The sequence below is a fragment of the Homo sapiens genome, chromosome 8, assembly GCF_000001405.40.
Source record: "Homo sapiens chromosome 8, GRCh38.p14 Primary Assembly".
Taxonomy (NCBI): Eukaryota; Metazoa; Chordata; class Mammalia; order Primates; family Hominidae; genus Homo; species Homo sapiens.
Window position 1 is genome coordinate 24,069,779 of NC_000008.11, and position 19,801 is coordinate 24,089,579.

The 19,801-nt window shown below is 36.6% G+C and overlaps 1 long non-coding RNA gene and 1 pseudogene across 1 annotated transcript in view; one reads left to right on the forward strand and one right to left on the reverse strand.

The window, feature by feature from the left end:
- Window positions 1–19,801, forward strand: part of LOC107986931 (uncharacterized) — a 290,196-nt gene that overhangs the window by 152,446 nt on the left and 117,949 nt on the right. The gene's annotated exons all lie outside the window — the stretch shown is intronic.
- Window positions 7,219–7,380, reverse strand: RNU1-148P (RNA, U1 small nuclear 148, pseudogene; annotated as a pseudogene).

Here is a 19,801-nt window from a genome sequence, read left to right on the forward strand (position 1 = left end):
GGTGACGATGGGGAGCTACTGAAGGATTTTGATTAGGAGAATGTGACAAGTTGGGAGATGGATTCCGTAATCATTTTCACATTTGGAAAGTGGAAGAAGCATCAGTTAGAGGGATTATAGTAGTACATTTGAAAATTGCCTGAGGCCTGGAGTTTGAGACCAGCCCAGCCAGTATAGTGAAACCCTGTCTCTGCTAAAAATATAAAACTTAGCCAGGCTTGGCGACGCATGCCTGTAATCCCAGCTACTTGGGAGGCTGAGGCAGGAGAATTGCTTGAAGCCAGGAGGCGGAGATTGCAGTGAGCTGAGATTGCACCACTGTACTCCAGCCTGGGCGACAGAGTGAGACTCTGTGTCAGAAAAAAAAAAAAAAAAAATGCATTCTTCTTAAAATGCTTCAACAGTTCCCATTGTCTTCAGGGAAAATTAAAACTTTTCAATATGCCTGAGAAGATACCATGTTTTTTCATTTTTCCTTCTCCACCTCCCCTCACTTTACTGTAACATGAGGTGCTCTCACTCCTGATACTTTCCCCATCAGGAAAATGCTGCTTCTGTCTTACCTGACTGACTTCAAGAATATGTGTAAACTTTATTTGTTCAGGGAGATATTTTCCTTCTGTAAAACAATAAAATTCTCCTGTTATATGTCCCCATAGCACCATGAACTTCTCCTGCTCTGATTGTTATTCCATTTCATTGTAATTAGTTGTTTAATGGTGTATCTTTCCAGTTAGACTGCGTGCTCTATGGAGGCAGAAACAACATCTGTCTTGTTGAATCATGTGGACACGTGTACCTGGGTCATGAAGGTTTCTCTCAAATAGATGTGGGTATATATGTGTATACTATGTAGAAAAAAATCCTGGAGTAGCAGCAAAGCGGTACATGCTATTTTATAACTGAGAATGAAGATGTTCACAGCAAATAAATATTTTAAGTTACTTGGTCGGTTTTGCCTTTTATAAATTAGAATGACCACGATTTTTGGTGAGGTGAGTCAAATTTTATGTTTCTGTTCATGATGTTAATATTTGGCTCTCGAGAACTGTTATTTCTCTGGGAGTTGGAGGATGGGAAACGTGCTTGCTTCCTCCTCTCTGAGTCTGCATGTATGTGCCTCCTGCATCATCATCATTATCATTATCATCATCATCATCACCATCACCATCATCATCATCATCATGGCAGCTCTCATTTACTGGTCCCTGGCAATATGCCAGTTCTGGTGCTAGGAGTTTCATCCATGTTATTTGAGCTAAACAACAAGAGATATTCCCTATTTTATATAATATTATTGATGAAGAAATGTCAAATTAGAGAGATGAAGTAGCCTGCTCAAAATTACTTAAAAAATGTTGCTCTCATTGAATTAATGAATAGAGCAGTGGTTTCTAGAGACTGGGAAGTGTTGGTGGGGTGAGGGAATAGTGACAGGTTGGTTATCAGATACAAACTTACACAGCTAAATAAGAGGAACAAGTTTTAGTGTTCTGTAGCTCTATAGGATGAACTATAATTAACAATTTGTTGTATATTTTCAAATAGCTGCAAGAGCAGAGTTCACAAAAACTAGAAAAATGGGAAGAATATTGTTTTGTTTAATGTCTCACATGGACCTTAACAGTGATGATGGCCATATGTAGATGACAAGCTACATGTGCGATTGTTTTCTGATTTTGTAATTGTTAAAAGTGAGGCTCAGAGAGGGCAGAAGACTTGCTGTAGGTCACCCAGCTTGTAGGGCAACTGAGGCTCAGATTATTAACCCTAAATCCAATCTAATTATGCTTTCTCTCTGTCTCTCTTCTTAATTTTCAGTGGGAATTTTTGGCGTTTTTATTTATTCATTGATTCATTCATTCATTTATTTATTTTTGAGACTGAGGCTCACTCTGTCTCCCAGTCTGGAGTGCAGTGGCGCGATCTCTGCTCACTGCAACCTCTGCCTCCTGGGTCAAGCGATTCTCTTGCCTCAGCCTCCTGAGTAGCTGATATTACAGGTGCCTGACACCACGCCCAACTAATTTTTGTATTTTTAATAGAGACACAGTTTCCCCATGTTGGCCAGGCTGGTCTTGAACTCTTGACCTCAGGTGATCCACCTGCCTCGGCCTCCCAGAGTGCTGGGATTACAGGTGTGAGCCACCATGCCCAGCCATTTTTGGCACTTTTAAAGGAAGATTATAGAAATGCTAAAACGATGTTGGTTTGAATTTGTTGATTCATACATGGTCTGCAGAATTTTTTTATTCAGCACTATTGTAGTCAGCTATATTCCTCTATAATTACATCTGTAAGCACCATTGACTATTAGAAAAAGGTTTTGTAATTTTTTTCTATAGAAAGATAGAATGATAATTTAGCATTTCCTTTAGCATGATTGGTCAGAATTTGTTGTTTGTAATTCATAGTTTGGAGAAGTTTATTTCAGCTTTACAACTCATCATTGACAAAGCCATCTCTGCAGCTTCCTTCACAGTCTTTTGTGTAGCAACAGGCTCTGGGAGCACTGCAGCTTGTTTACATCCTTGGGCGTGATCCTGACAGGCAAACTGGTTCATAAAGGCTATGTCTCACTCTGTAACCGCTTCCTTTAACACCAGCCTCCCTAGATTTTCTTCTGTGGATTAAGACGATACGAAGCTGCAATTTAGTGGTCCCCAGGGCTCGCTCCTTCAGCAATTCCTTGTGGAGTAAAATATAAAGTCTGGTCACTTGCTGAGGTTTATCAGAGGTTGTCTTACAGTAGAAGCTGGTCTTGGCCTCAGACCAAGGAGTGTCACTTTTCTTTATACCCTTATTGAGCCTCATTGGTCCGAGGTCCACTCCTTATAATTGAGGCCTGAAGCCAATAAGAAGAAAGGCCAGATTTGGGATTGGGTGGGAATAGAGGGGAACAGAATAGGCTTAAGGTCCTATGATGCTTATGGAGAAAGCAAATTCCACAAATGATCAGCTCTGCTTCTGCAGAGAATGACGCTCTGGATGGATTTGCGGTGGAAAACAAAGGCTTCCCTCTCTGTTGATGATGAGCAGATGGAAGGAGCTGATGGGGTAAAGGAGCTATCAAATCCTCATCCTAAGTAGAATCTGTGTGGATTGCCAGAGGTAAATTGAGGCAGAAAAAAGAATGTAAATCATCATTGGTGAAGTGTCTGTTCAAGTCTTTTGTCTGCTTTTTTTTTTTTTTTTCCGATTGGGTTATGTGTCTTTTTTTAATTGAGTTGTATGAGTTCTTTATATATTTTGGATTCAAGTCCTTCATTTGTTATATATCTGCCAATATTTTATCTTAGTCTGTAGCTTGCCTTTTCGTTTCTTAACAATGGGTGTTAAAGAGCAGTTTTGTTGTATTAAAATAACACAACAAAAAAAACAGCTTTGGGCTTCAAGAATTTTTCTGTGTTATTTACCTTTGCAATTGTATTAATTTCTGCTTAATGTGTGTTATTTTCTTCCTTCTGCTTGCATTGGGTTAATTTGTTATTCTTATTACAATTTATTATGTGTAAGCCTAGGTCACTGATTTTAATCTATTCAACTTTTGTAATATAAGCTTTTAATGCCATAAATTTCTAAGTATTGCTTTACCTTGATCCCATGGATTTTAATATTATGTGTTCCTTTTCATTTAGTTCACAAAATTGTCTAACTTCCCCTTGTGGTATTTCTTTGACTAATGGTTAATTTCGAAGTGAGGTGACAAGTTTCTAAATATTTGGAAAATTATCAGTTTTTTAAATTTTTTTAAATTATATTCAATTGTATTTGTATAATTTCAATAATATTTTTATATTTATTGGGAATAATTTTACGACCCAGAAATATGGTCATTTGTGGAAAATACTTCATGTGCTCTTGAAAAGAATGTGTATTCTGGTTGTTGGTGGAGGTGATTATTCCATAAACATCAATTAAGTCAAATTACTTGATAATACTGTATTGCTCAAGATTTCTGTGTCTTTCCTGATATTTTTGTCTACTAATTTTTATCCATTATCGACAGAGGGAATTTGAAATCTTCAATAATTGTGGATTTAAGAAAATTGTATTTTTAGTATTTTCAGTTTTTGATGTATTTTGAAGTGCCATTAAGTGAATATGTTCTTAGAATATTTATCTCTTCGGGATTAACTGATCCCTTAATCATTATACAATGACCTGCTTTTTCCTTGGTTTGATATAGTTATAGATAGAGATATTGATACTATATACTAATTTATAGCTGATATTGATATAATCAAGCTTGTTTGTGTATATGTGTGTATACCTGCAAAATACAACTTTGTTTCCTGACTTTTTAATGATCGCCATTCTAACTGGTGTGAGATGGGATCTCATTGTGGTTTTGATTTGCATTTCTCTGATGACCAGTGATGATGAGCATTTTTTCATGTGTTTTTTGGCTGCATAAATGTCTTCTTTTGAGAAGTGTCTGTTCATATCCTTCGCCCACTTTTTGATGGGGTTGTTTTTTTCTTGTAAATTTGTTTGAGTTCATTGTAGATTTTGGATATTAGCCCTTTGTCAGATGAGTAGGTTGCAACTTTGTTATTTATTCAACCTATATGTGTCTTTGTATTTAATGTCAATTTCTTTTAGATAGTGTATACTTTGGTCATTCAGGTTTTTTTTTTTTTGGTCATTCTGTTTAACTTTGTCTTTTAATTGGTGTACTTATATCATTTACATTTAATGTGATTGATTGTATACATGTCTTTAAATCTGTCATCTTTTAACTCATTTCTTGTCTTATCTATTTTTGGGCTCTTAGTTTTTCTCCTTTTCTGCTTTGTTTTGCATGAATTACATATCTTTCCATGATTTGATTTGATCCTCTTTATTACTTTTTTTCCCCTAGGGTTTACATATACATATAATTTTTAACTTCTAGCAAGCTACCTTTTAATACTAGTCTGTCACTCTGTACATATTATAAGAACATCGTGACAGTACACTTTCATTTTCTATGACTGGTCTTTGTGCTATTGTCATATGTTTTATTTTAACAAATGTTATAAACTTGGCAATGCATTGTTATTGTTTTTGCTTTAAACAGCCAATAATATTTTAATGAGCTTTAAAAGTAATAAAATTAAATTTACCAACATATTTACCATTTCTGGCACTCTTCATTCCTCTTAATGGATCCAAACATCTAGTTGATACAATTCTTTTTTTCTCATGAAGGACTGTCTCCTACATTTATTATAGTGCTTATCTGTTGTTAATGGATTCTCCCAGCTTTTATAGGCCTGTAAAAATTTTCAATCCATTTTCCTTTTGGAAGATATTTTCACTGGGTATAGAATTCTAAGTTGACAGTTTTTTTATGGAGTATTTTAACAATGTTGCTTTACTGCGTTCCAGCTTGTGTTTCTACTTAGAATCCTGTTCTGGTCACTACCTTCGTCGTTTTGTGTGTAATGTGTCTTTTGTCTTCCAATGGCTGGTTTTAAGATTTTTTTTTCTCTGTCACTGCTTTGCTACAGTTGAGCTATGATTTATCTTTTTGTGGTTTTCTTTGTTTCTTCTATTTGGGGTATTTTGAGCTTCTTGGATCTGTAGAATTATAATTTTCATAAAATTACTGAAATTTTTAGCAATTTTTTCAAAAAATTTTTTTTTGTCTCACTACTCTTTCTATTCTGGAATTCAATTCCATGCTCATTACACTGTTTGAGACTGCCAATAACTTGCTGTTGCTCTGTTTATTTTTGAAGTCTTTTTTTTCCTCCATTTTATTTTGGATACCCTATCCTGTCATGTCTTTAAGTTTATTATTTGTTTTTCTTTTGCAGTGTCTAATCTGTCAGTCAGTGCACTTTTATGTCAAATGTTGCAGTTTCACTTCAGTTCAATGTTTTTAATCTTCTACTTTTTATTATACTCATACTTCTTGTACAAATTGAGTTGTATTTATAATTGTCCCCTAATTTATTTAACACCCTTGTCCACTAATTATCTTTATTTCTTTGATTTCTTTGTTACTGACTTTTTGTTATGCTTCATATTTTTCTGGTTCTTTTCTTGACTATTAATGTTTAATTGTATGCCAGTTATGAATTTTAGATGATAAATCTTGTTTTGTTTCTTTAAATAGTTTTGGTCTATGTTCCAGGGCATAACTAAGCTACTTTAAAGTTTGTTTTTAGGTTTTGTTATGTGGGTCCGGAGCAGCTTTTAAGTTAGGACTAATTCGTCTCAACTCCTAAGGCAAAACACGTTTGAGGGCTCTAATCCAAACATTGGCAAACTTTTTCTCTGGAAGACCAGATAATAAATATTTTATACTTTGTTGGCCAAATGGTCTTTGTTGAAATGGTTTAATTTTGCTATTGCAGCACAAAATCAGTCATAGATCATATGAAAACAGATGAGTATGGCTATGTTCCAATTTGGCCTGTGGGGCATGTTTTACTGACTCCTACTTTACTTAATGCTAAGCATAAGGAGAGCTTTCCATTGTAGCTGTTGAGGGCATGAACTAGTCCCATCTTTTAGTGAGCCTTGGAGATCATTCTCCCTGTTCCTTTCTAATGCTACTTGCCTTAGCTTCAGGACTTATTTTACATGCATATACTGATCAGTATTTGGTTAAGTCTTTGAGGAAACCCTCTGATAATCTCTGGCGTTCATTCTCTTCTCTTCAGTAACCTGCCTCATGAATTGAGAATTCTTAGACGACGACTACTACTACTACTACTACTACTACTACTTCTTCTTCTTCTTCTTCTCCTTCTTCTTCTTCTTCTTCTTCTTCTTCTTCTTCTTCTTCTTCTTCTTCTTCTTCTTCTTCTTCTTCTTCTCCTCCTCCTCCTCCTCCTCCTTCCTCCTTCCTCCTTCCTCCTTCCTCCTTCCTCCTTCCTCCTTCTTCTTTCTTCTTTCTTCTCCTTTTTTTTTTTTTGAGATGGAGTCTTGCTCTGTCACCCAGGCTGGAGTGCAGTGGCATGATCTCAGCTCACTGCAACCTCCGCCTCCCAGGTTCAAGCAATTCTCCTGGCTCAGCCTCCCAAGTAGCTGGGACCACAGACGTGTGCCACCATGCCCAGCTAATTTTTGTATTTTTAGTAGAGACAGGGTTTCACTATACTGGCCAGGCTGGTCTTGAACTCCTGACCTCAGGTGATCCACCTGCTTCAGCCTCCCAAAGTGCTGGGATTACAGGCGTGACCTGCCGAGCCCGGCCTGGACCTGTTCTTCAACCATGAAGACCAGGGGAAAGTGCTAACACAGTCCCCACTACCACAAATTATGCAGTTGAATTTCCCACATTTGGGGAAATTGCAGGGGTCAGCACATCCGGAGTGCAATGGATGAGCCTCGTGCTGGGAAAATCACCTTCATGATCATGGTATCTCCCCTGCCAGTAAGTATGAATTCTTAGCCTTCTTAAACCCTGACCTCTGCCTCTTCAACTCAGGGAAAACGCCCAGGTCCTACTGGTTTGATCTGTTTTATGCTGCATACTCTCCCCAGGCAGTAAGCTAGAGCAATGTTAGGGCTCTTTTACTTTGATGTCTGATTCTTGGGGATCACTGCCGTTATTTACTTGTTTTTCAATGTTGGAAAACTGTTCTTTCCTATATTTTGTGTGCTTTTTCCCTATTATTTCAATTATGTATAAATTTAGTCTGTTATTCCATCATGACTAGGAGCATACCACCTCTGCTTTAAAAAGTGCTTTTTAACTACTGTTCATCTATTACTTATAAAGTCTCGATGATTATCCATATTTGCTTTCTATCCATGAATTTTAACATTTAAAAACAGGTTTTTCTGATTTCTCTTTTGTGTATTTTACTTATAAAAATAATTAGTTACATCCATATAAATACTTGAAATTTAGCAGTTTTTCACTATGGTAAAAATTTGTTAAAGTTTCTGAATTTTTCAACATTGTTCCCTCTAAGCTTATAAAACCTTTTCATCTGTAAACGGGAACTTTTCTGCCTTGTTTTTACCTCTCACTTTTTTTCCACTAGCCCATCATCTTAAAACTTACTATGCTAATACTACTCTCGATACCTACAATTTCCTTTTCATATTAATGGATTTTCATTAAGTGACAGGTTGTATTATCCCTGATTGTGTAAAGGAGTATTTTCTTGTCAAATTTTAGTTTTAGACTGAGAAGGTGGGAAGCTGAGAGGGTTTTGGCACAGGTTATACCTTATATTAATAATAAAATTTCAAAATTAAAATACAAGTGGCAACCGTTAGAAATCTAAGAGACAAGACGACGAGTCAGGCTGGTATTATAATGTGGGCTTCCAAACAGGGATGAGAGCAATTACAATGTCTGGGCAGTTAAACAGCAAGACATTCTTAGCTGGATGACAGAACAAAATTGTGGTTGGGGCTCTTGGTTTTAGTCTGATTCCATCTGTACTAGATCAAGTAGGACTCAGATATTTGTGAATGTGGATCATACCTTTCTGTTGTTCACACTTGTGATGTTCTGGGCCCTCCTTTTTGCACATCTTTTGTTATTTAGCTGAGATATGACATGAGAGGGAAAGGAACAGGATGCGTCTTCCCATCAGGAGGAAAATAGAATCAGCTATTCTGAGCATTTTAAATCTTTTGGGGTTACATGAGGCATTTCAGCTGCTACATCAACTAAACACTTCAGTCAGTCAACGTTTACCAAGTATATTGACCCTCCATATCCACAAGTTTTGCATCTGAGGATTCAAACAACTGACGATCAAAAATACAGAAAAAGTAAATAAATACATATACCATGATAAAAATAATACGATTGAAAACAAAGCATAACAATGATTTGCATAACATCTACGTTGTTTTAAGTATTATAGGTAGTCTATTGATGATTTAAAGTATAGAGGAGGATGTTTGTAGGTTATATGTAAATACTACATTTTATGGAAGACGCTTGAGCATCCACAGATTCTTCTGTCTGCGGGGATCCTGGACGCAATCCTCCATGGATACAAAGGGAAAACTGTACCTGTTATTTGCTAAATACTGAGAAGTATAATGGTTATTACACGTCTTCTAACTTTATAAATGTTAGTTTCTGGTTAGGAAGATTGATGTATAAGTAGGTAACTTTACTTATTATTTCTAGTATTAGGGGTATACGTGAGATGCTCAGGAGCCCCCTTGAAAAATTAGCAAGCCTTGTCGTGACTTCTTTAGTAAATGCATTATCTTTGATGCTGGGAATCTTTATCACACATTGTGTTAATATACTTATCTGTAATTTACTCATAGAAAAGGACGTGATGCTATTTTGTTCTTAAGTAACCAATTTTCTTCTTATTTTTGACATTATAGATTAAATCACTATATTACTTTTCCTTGACTCTAAATATATTTTAGAAGTAGCACCTTTTAAATATAATTTTAATATTCTACTTTTCAAGTTGCTGAGAAAAAGTATTTCCAATTAGGCTTAGCCCTGAATAACTGATTGTCATTATTAGCAATCTTGCAGTATGAGAGAGATTTTTTTCTTATTTAATTCCTAGTCATCTAAAGGAGACAGATGTTGATTTAGCAGGCAAATAACACCAAATAATTTCAGGACTGGTGTCAGGCAGTTTTTTCTGTTGTCAGCTTACGAACTGGTGTGATCCTTCCTCTACTCCCAACTTCTTTTTCTCTTTTTGGGCACATTAGATTGGGTTAATCTGCCTCCTTCTGAGGCACAGAAAGGAAAAAGCCAACTGCATCCAGTTGACAGAATTCATGTGAAGGCATTAGGATATTTGAACAGAGTTTCTAACAGGGAAAAATCTCAAGACATTTATGTTTGCAAGTATCTTTGGAAGCCCGGTACCACAGAAATTTGAGGGTAAAAGGATATGTCCAGGTTTCTTCCAGACTGGTAGTTTTAGAGTGCACATCTGAATTAAAAAATCTTGATAAATAATTACTTTGAGGGAATGAGTATGTTCTACAAAAGAATGCTTGAATTGCCGTGGGGAATCAGATTATCTTTCATCCTAGTATTTGTTTTTTAATGACCTTTGTAAAACGTATCTGGTGGGTGTCACTCCTCACACGAGGCTTAGCTGGGATACATACTGGGGAGTGTACGATCAGACAAATGAGAGAAGAAATGGACTCAACTGTGCTGCCGGCACCACATGGGCAACCACAAATTTCAGTGCTAAGAAGTCAGGCACACTCTGTGTAGTGTCAGCTGGCATCCATATTTGGGAAGGCTGCCTCCAGCAGGTTAGAATTAGCATTGAGGTGCAGGGAACAGGGGCATCTGAAGTCCAATGGCAGCAACTGAAGGTATCGGGAGCAAGACTAGCTCTTCAGGAGGATTTCAAGAATGCAGGACTGTATAAGCTGGAGTCAGGGAATGAAAAGCATAGTATCCAACATGGGATCAGTGGACTGGGAACTTGGGCTCGGGGGAGGCTATTTATGTATAATAGGGAGGTTGGGGGAGGGAAGAATGTACAAACAGGAACAGAGCTCCCTTAGACATATTAGATACCATTTGATGAGAAAGAGGCTACTTTCAGTTGCTGCTGCTGATGTACTGTCCTTCTAGTTTAATTTGGGCTTGGAGACTAACCAGGGGTGGGCCTGCAAAGGTGAAGGTAAAGCAGCCCAAAGTTGACTCTAGGTCTTATTCTAGCATCTGATTTCCCTCCTAATCGTTATCCTCACTCCTTTTACATTTTCTGTTTCTTGCTTGGATTACATTTTGCTGGTAACAATTTGCTGTGAAAAGTATAAACTCTTCCCACTCGGAGTGTTTCTCCACATATCTCTTCTCAAGACCTGCTTAGAGCTAATTTTCCAATCTTGTTTCTTCCAAGTCCCTGAGGTCCAGCTAAACCATTGTTCACCGTGCTTGAGTCACATACTTCTGGCCATCTCTGTGACTTCGAGATGTGCTTAAGTTTTTTCTTTTATACCACTCTATTTGCTTACCGAATGCTAACTTTTTGGCTTTGTAGGTCAAACAACCCCAATATATGATGGGCAACTCAAGTCACATGGTGATTTAAAAGACTACGGCTAAGCATTCCTTCTCAACCAGGGCCCAGTAGTAAGCCAGAATCTGTTTCTCCAAAAAAAAAAAAAAAAAGAAAAAAGAAAGTATCAGTAAAGAATGGTATAGTTTTGCGTCAATATCCTAAAAATCTGTGGTGTGATTCACCTAGAGATTCTTGCCAAATGCCTATCTGCTTCAGACATATCAAGCACTATCAGATCTGCTGGGTCACACAGCCTGATTGACAGAACAGCTTGCTTGACAGCTGGACAGGTGCAGAGCCTTTTCTTATTCTGCTCCCCACTCAGTATGCTGACAAATAAAAAAAAAATCTGGGCTTGGGCTTGTGGCCAAAACTGATCTTTTAAAATTCAGTAGGTTATGAAATACCTCATGAAGCCTTTAGAAAAATAGCTAATAGTTTTTCGTTGCCAATGAAATAAATTGTTTTTTTCCCTGAGAACTTGGAGAGTTATGTTTTTATTATTTTCTATGTTTTTTGAGTTTGCTACCAACTAAAATCCTTGGAGCATTTTTTAAGATGTCATTAGGCCTGTATAGTAATCCTAACCAAGGGCAAGTGGTTAATCCTTTAAGTTTGTTGAATTATTGCATAAGCAAAGAATCAGCCAATAAATACTTATAAGACAAATGTTCATATTGCACAAATAGGAGATATGGATTCAATGTATACAGAACACTGATACCCTTAGTATCAGTCTATATATCAACATTGATACCCTTAGATACCTAAAGAAATTATTCAGTTTTTGAAAATTTATAATTTGTGTTCTGTTATACATAATGGATGTGAAAGATCATGTTTATATATTTTAAATTTTATTTTCTAGTTTTAGATTTACAAAAAAAGTGCCAAGATAGTACAGTTTCCATACACCCCACATATAGTTTCTTCTCTTATTAGTATCTGTCAGTACTATGGTACATTTGTCACAACTAGTGAACAAATATAGATGCATTATTCCTAACTAATGTTCATATTTTTAAAGATTTACTTAGGTTTTTTAAACCTATTGTTGCTTTTTTGTTACAAAATCCCATCCGGAATACCACATTACATTTAGTCGTCTTGTCTCCTTTGTCTCTCTTGGCTGTGACAGTTTCTTTGTTTCTGATAACCTTGAAAGTTTTGAGACATCCTGCTCACATATTTGGTAAAATGTCCATCAATTGGAATTTGTCTGATATCTTTCTCATAATTAGATTGGGATTCTGTGTTCTTGGGAGGAATACCAGAGAGGTAAAATGCCATTTTCATCATATCAAGTTCAAGGATATATACCATCAATAAGAATTTTCACTGTCATATTAACCTTGATTACTGGGCTGAGACAGTAATTGTCAGATTTCTCTACTCTAACATTGTTCCTTCCCCGATTTGCTCTACTCTACTCCTGGGGAGGAAGTCTCCCTGCAGAGCCCATAGGTAAGGCATGGAGAGTTATCTTCCCACTTGAGGGTGGAGGATCTACATAAATTATTTGGAATTCTTCTGCATGGGAGATGTGTCTCTTCTCCTTCCATTTATTTAAAATGAATTCATAATTCAATCATATATTTAAATGAGTGTGTATTCATGAATATTTATACTTTGGGTTATAATCTAATACCATATTTTGTTCAAATTGTCTCAGATTTGGCCATTGTTGGCCTTTGTGTTCTTATGATATACCATAATCATTATGGGTTCTTTTGAGCACTTCCTTACTTTCTATCACTGCAAGATGCACTGGTCTCATCTTGTATATTTCCTGCCTCAGTCCTAGATTCAACCCTTTTTCCAAGGAGTCTTGGTAATAGAGAATGGTATTTTTGTTGGAGTATGGTATTGGAAACCAAGATCTGGATTCTAGGTGTACTCATTACTATTTGGGTGTCATTGCTTTTAGGTCTTCTTGGCTGACAAAGCATGAACATACATGTGTGTGTACTATCCTGTCTATATATATATTTATCAATATTACTGTATGCAATTATTTGCATTTATATTAAGCTAAACATGAGCTTATACTAATGTCTCTATACCTTGCTTATCTGTAAATACCCATTCCAAAATATGAGAAACCTGACTTCTACCTTCTATCATAAATTCACTTAATTGTTCCAATGGTTTGGAATTGTTAACCCATATTTTCATGGGAAATAACTTTATCAACCAGAGTGCAGTGCTTCTGCACACTTTCCCTTTCTTTACTCTTACTCAGGTCAGCACTTTCCCCCGAGATTATTTTATACATTCGTAGTACAATTGATTCTCTTGTGACTGTCTGCTTCCATCATAGGATTCCTCAACACCCTAAATGATTTAAAAATTTTTACAGACATTAAGGTTCAATCTCTGTGCCATAAAGTTCAATGTGTTTTGACAAATGCATAGTGTCCTCTATCCAGCATGAAAGTATTACACAGAATGTTTTACTACCATGAAAAAAATACTGCCTGTGCTTCACTGATTCAACTTTGTTCACCCATAATCTACCGGCAAACACTGATCAGTTTACTGTCTCTATTGTTTTGCCTTCCACAGAATGTCATATAAATGGAATCATACAGAATTTCAGACTGAGTTCTTTTACTCAGCAATATGCATTTAAGGTTCATTCATGATTTTGCATGGCTTTTATAGTGTAATAACCGTATTTTCTAGCTTCTATATTTGATACTTTGATATCTTGAGGTCCGGGAGACCCTGGAGGGATCTGCTAGGTCAAGCTAATTCCTAGACATAGCAGATCAATCTTTACCTTTCCTATGGAAACTAACCAATCTAGACCCTATGCTCCACAACCTCCCTCTTTATCCTCTCACATTACAAGGTACAATCTCCTCTAATCATTCTAGGGCAAAGTAATTTAGGTCTGTGATCCACTTGGGTTAATATTTGTGAAAGGTAAAAGGTGTTTGTCTATGTTCTTTTCTTTCCCCCACTTTTTTGTATATGAATGTCCAATTGTTAAAGCCACCTTTGTTGAAAGGACATTTTTTTCTTTACTGAATTGCCTTTGCACTTTTGTCAAAGATTATTTAGCTAAATTTGTCTAGATCTATTTCTGCACTCTCTGTTATGTTTCACTAATCTATGTGTCTATTTTCCTCAATGATACCACACTGTATCTGTATTGTAACTTTATACTAATGTTTGAAATTTAATAATATGTGTCATCCAGCTTTATTTTTCTCCTTTAGGATTGTGTTGGATATTCCTTGCGTTTTAATTTTTCATGTAAAGTTTAAAATTAGTTTGTCAATATCCAAACATAATTTGCTAGAATTTTGGTTGGGATTGTGTTGACTCTATAAATCAAGTTGAGACAAATTGCCATCCTCATGCTACTAAGTCTATTAATCAATGAACATGGAATATCTCTCCATTTATTTATGTCTTCTTGGATAGTCTATTTTTTCTTCTTATTCTTCCTGCCTTTCTCCCTCCCAGGAGAAATTCTTGGCCTTCTGAAACTTCACCGAAAAGTCAACTCTGAAAAGGCAGATTAATAGAAGAAAAGACATGCAAATTTATTTAACATGTATACACAAGAGGCTTCAGAATAAAGACCTAAGCCCCCAACGAGGTACAGAAGCTTATAGACCATCTTGAGGTTAAAATAATGTGGGCTCAGAGCATGGCCAAAAACATGTTATGGTGGTAAGTCAGATTTGAGGGGCAAGACAGGTTATGGGAGAGATAAAGGGAGAAGCTATGCTAGCAAAGGTGGCCTTGTTACATAGACGAAGTCTCATAGGCCATAGCCCTCAGAGAGAATAGAGGATAACTATTTCCTTTCAAAGTTTGAAAGATGTCAGGCTCAATCTCTGCTAGAGCCGGGAAAGGCCGAGAAAGGAAAGACCTGGCTGCATTAATGGAGATTCTCCACAGATGCAAATTTTTTCCACAAGAGAGAGTTTTGCAAGGTCCCTTCTGTCTTCTGACCCCCACTGGCAGCCATTTCAAAATGTGTCAAAGATAGATATTTTGAGGTAAAGTATTTTTATTTCCTTCAAAATCATTCTTCATTTAGGTTAGAGTTTTTTATATCTAGTATTCCCTTTGATTCTTTCTTAGTTTCTCTCTGCTTACCTTTCCTATTTCTTCTTGCATGTTGTGTATTTTTTTATTACAGTTCTTAACATATTATAGCTATTTTAAATTCCCTGTCTTTTTCAAAGTCTGTCATATCTAAATTTGGTTCTGATGGTTGCCTTGTCTCTTCAGACTGTTTTTTCTTCATATTTATCGTGTTTTCTAGACAATGTATCAAGTAATAGAAACTGAGTTAAAGAAACCTCTAATGTGACTTTTTATGTTATATGGGTAGGAATTAGGTTGTGTTTAATGTTTGGTGTAGTTGTAGGTGCCAGAGTCTTCACATTCCTATAGTATCGTTGTTTTTGCTTTTGTCTTGTTTATTCCCTTTGGGATTCTCCCAAAACTCCTTTTTTTTGGGCGGGGGTGGGGAGGTTGTTTTTGAGACAGGGTCTCACTCTGTCACTCGGGCTGAAGGGCAGTGGCATGAGCAGAGCTCACTGCAGTCTCAACTTCCTGGGCTTACACAATCCTCCTTCCTCAGTCTCTCATGTAGCTGAGACCACAGGTGCTCACCACCATGCCTGGCTAACTTTCTGATTTTTTGTGGAGACAGAGTCTCACTTTGTGGCCCAGGCTGATCTCAATCTCTTAGGCTCAAGCAGTCCTCCCACCTCAGCTGCCCAAACTGCTAGGACTACAGGCATGAACCAGTGCACCCAGCCAAAACTCCATGTTTGATAGAGTCTATATCTTGATATTCTTTGAGCTGTAGTTCACTGCTACTATACTGGAGACCTAATGGTGTTGCTTAAAGTCTGAGGGAGAGGAAGTATTCTATAATCTTATGATAAAATCTCAGTGTTGTAGTGGGCCTACCTCCTCAAGCTGTGTGCTTCACAAATGTTTCTTAGCTTCCCCCTCTTTAGATTGAACATGAAAGCTAGAGGGGGCTTGAGTCAGAGAAATGACTTTTTCCATGTGAGATGACTCTCTGGTAAAGTCTTTACTTTGGAGAGTGGGCTTTGTTATGGATAAGGCTCTGTGTATTTCACAATGTCTTTTCTTGTCGGATCCCCTGCCATAGCCATCTTTCTTGAATTTTCACATTGAGAACCTTATATTATTCATGGCAATAAAGCCCAGAAAAGTGTGACACCCCTATCAGACTGTTAACCCCAGGAGTTTCTCTCTTTGATGCTAATCTGCATTTAGCCTCCAGGAATTCATCAAAGTTGCCATTTAAGTGTTCTTCCCAGTTTTTGACTCCAGAAGGCTTCTGCTCACAGTAAACAGATACCAGCTGTAATTGTTGGGAATTGCCTGCGTGTCCAGATTTTGCAGTGGTAGTTTCGCATGAAACCTGTCTTCAGCATCCATTTCATGTTTTATTTGTTTGTAACATAGGAGGGTTGAGTTCCAGACTCTTTACATGTCGTAGGTGAAACTGAGAGAATTGCTATCTTAATACTATTGAGACTACCAATCCATGAATATAGTACATCTCTACATCATTCACGTTCTTATCCTTTTCGATGTAACAGAGTAATGCTGAGAAAACATGTTTTTGTTTCCTAAGAAATATATTAATTATCCCAAGGAATTAAAATCAACTATAGTATTTTTTTTTACTTGATGCTTTACATGGTTTTATGACTTTAATAAAAAATTGCTGCTTTCCTCCCCAAATGGTACGCTCAAGCATTGTTTTTCTCTGAACTGATGTGCTTGTATCCAAAATGTTTTCCCAGTTGCTAAAAATCTTTATCCTTAAATTGATTTATATCTCTAACTTGAGTTATAGCTCTAGGAAGTGCCTACTAATTTGGGGAATGTAAGTAAAGTGCCTCTCCTATAAAGTTTATTTTTTAATCCTATAAAAGTTAATTTTGCCATAGGAATAAAGAAGAAATAAGCCAGAGGAACTGAAATATAAAAGCTGATCAAAGTTATTATAGGAACACTTGAAAACTTTTCTCTATGTGACAAAGCATACATCTGTGTCTTTATTAAATGAAATTACTGCCCAGCAGATCGTAAAATTACATGATATAATTTCCCTGTACCAGAGAACTTCCTATGACTCACACACATGAACTACCTTGTGTTTAACTAGCACTTATTTTTTCTAATACAAACCTAGAGCCAAATTAGTTATTAAGCTTCCAGGAAAATGAACAAGATTGTCTTTGCTTTTATTCTCTCTCTTTAAAACCGCAAATTTACTTAATGTTATTTCTTTTTTCTGTTCAAATAAGAACTCCTTGCCAATTTTGATAAAAATCCAAAGCAATTGGCAGGCATTGATATTTCTTCCCTCCTCTGCTTGTCTTATGTAAAATGACCCACCAATATGTCTCCAAGTAATTTACCTCCCCATCTCTGGAAGCACCATTAATGATAGCAGTCCTTTAAGAAATTTCAAGAGTTTCACCTGCTTTTCAGGTAGCTTAGCAGCAGTCAACCTGGACAATATTCAGCAATCTTCTTGTTACAATAATTCTATCCACCTTTTTGTGTAGAGGATCAGATTTTTATATCTTTAAGAGGACAACAATGATGACCATGATTTATTAAGCAACTCTACTCTTTTAGAAATTTTGCATGTGTACTTCTTATTTAAGTTTCACTGTAATTTTATGAGTTAAGGGCTGCTGCAGGCACAACTGGATATGGCCAGACATGTTTTAACCAATATAATCCAATTTCAAAGATGAGTAAACTGTCTAGAGACTATTTTACCCAAGATCATTTAGTTAATAGTCAGCAGAACTGACATCTAAACCGAGGCGTCATGCCCTGCCAGGTTATCTCTGAACCCTTCACTTTGCAGGAGGCTGGCAGCTTTCCGTGGGCAGTAAGTGTTTCAATTGGGCTAAAGATTTAATACCAAGAGTCCCTAGAAGAGCAATATAAGTGCAATTTGTTGATGCAATATTGCAAAAGAAAAGTAGGTTAAAACCATCTACCTGTGAATCAAAAGAAACACAATTCATGATCAAAACCAAGACAAGTTCCCTATGATCAAACTTATGACTTAAGATTTCTTGGTTGAAGAGAAATATGAGCACAACTTTCTTGGACTGTGGATTTTTTTCCCCTTTCCCCACCTTCCTCTCCTTTTTTTTCTCCTTTTGCTTTCTTTCTTCCTCTCTGCCTCCTTTTTTTTCCCTTCTCTATGTTTCTTTCTTTTTACTTCTTTCGTCTGCTTTTGGCCTTTTACTGGGAAATTACAAGAAGAGACTGCATTTGGCTATGTGGGCTGACAGAGTCTAATGTGCTAAGTTTGAGGACCAGAGCATGGGTCAGGCCACATACTACCCACTGCTTTTATTTGTATGATTCCATGAGCTAAGAATGGCTTTTACATTTTTAAATAGTTAAAAAAGAATTATATTTTGTGACACATAAAATTATATGAAATTTAAATTCAGAGTTCATAAAGTTTATTGGAACACAGCCATGCTCATTCATTTACACATTGTGTCTGAGTTCTGTTCGGCTACAATGGCAAAACAGAACAGTTGCACCAAAGACCACATGGACTCTATAGCCTAAATTATTTACTCTCTGGCCATTTATAGAAAAGTTTGGTGACCCATGTTTTAAAAGGTTAATTCTAGCCTCCAGATCTTAGAATTTAACAAATGCTTGGAACTGAACCAGTAGGCCTCCCTATTTTGGAACGAGGAATTTTTGTTTGTTAAAATGCAGATCTTTCTAGAAGACAATTATGCCTATTAATCACTAGAAATGGGTTAGACTTTGTTGATTAGATCCTTACATGGCATGTAATAAACAGCCAGGACTAATAGATGAAAGATGTTGGAGAACACATGCTTTTCTCTAGGCCATGCTAACAAGATGGGGTAGACAGGCACTGGAGTGGGGTGAAAAAATACAAAACACAGACATTTAAGGCAGACTTAGGATGTGTCTAACTCACCATAGCATCTTAGTATACATTTTTTATTTTAATCTTCATAATCCTACCATGTAGATATAAAAACATTAATTTTTATTAAGGAAGAAATGGAGCATCAGAAAGATTCTCCAGGATATCAAGATAGTAGGACGACAATAGTTTTGAAACAGGATTCAACCCAGGTCTAACCAATTCCTCTGTTACCATGATCACAGGTAAAATTTTCCTTTCCTGTTAACACAGTTTTGCCCAGGACTGACTCTATTTACATAATTGTGATACTGGTGTAGTTTCTATGCTAACAAATTGCTACTTGCGATAATGAACTTCCTACCAGTTGGTTGGGTTTTGATTTTTGCAGAAGGGAGAAGGGAGTTGACCCAACCCAGACAGCTTTGGTGTAGTACATAGTTCTCTGCGGGTGGGGATGAGAGATAATGACTTAAAAAAATCATACTTTGTCCCAGCCTTTCATCCCGTCTTTCTCAGTTTACCAGGTTGAATCTTACAGAATTCTCATTCAAAGATAGAAACGACTTGAAATTCAAAAACAATTTCAGAAGATGCAACCTAACATATTTATGTGCTATCAAAGAAAGTTAACATTAAGGCTTGACAACTTTCCAGAAGGTTTTGTGGAATTGAAAAAGGCTGAGTAATTCTCTTAGCATGTTGTTGAGGGAGTTACAAATCCGAACTGATGTTTCTTACTACCAGTATGCATAAATGTTCTCTTTACTGCTTTGTATTTTTTCCCTAAGCCACAGGTTTCTGCAACATCTGTCATGTATACCTATCCTCCAAAAACCCAATGGACCAGAATAATTGCTTTTATTTGGCT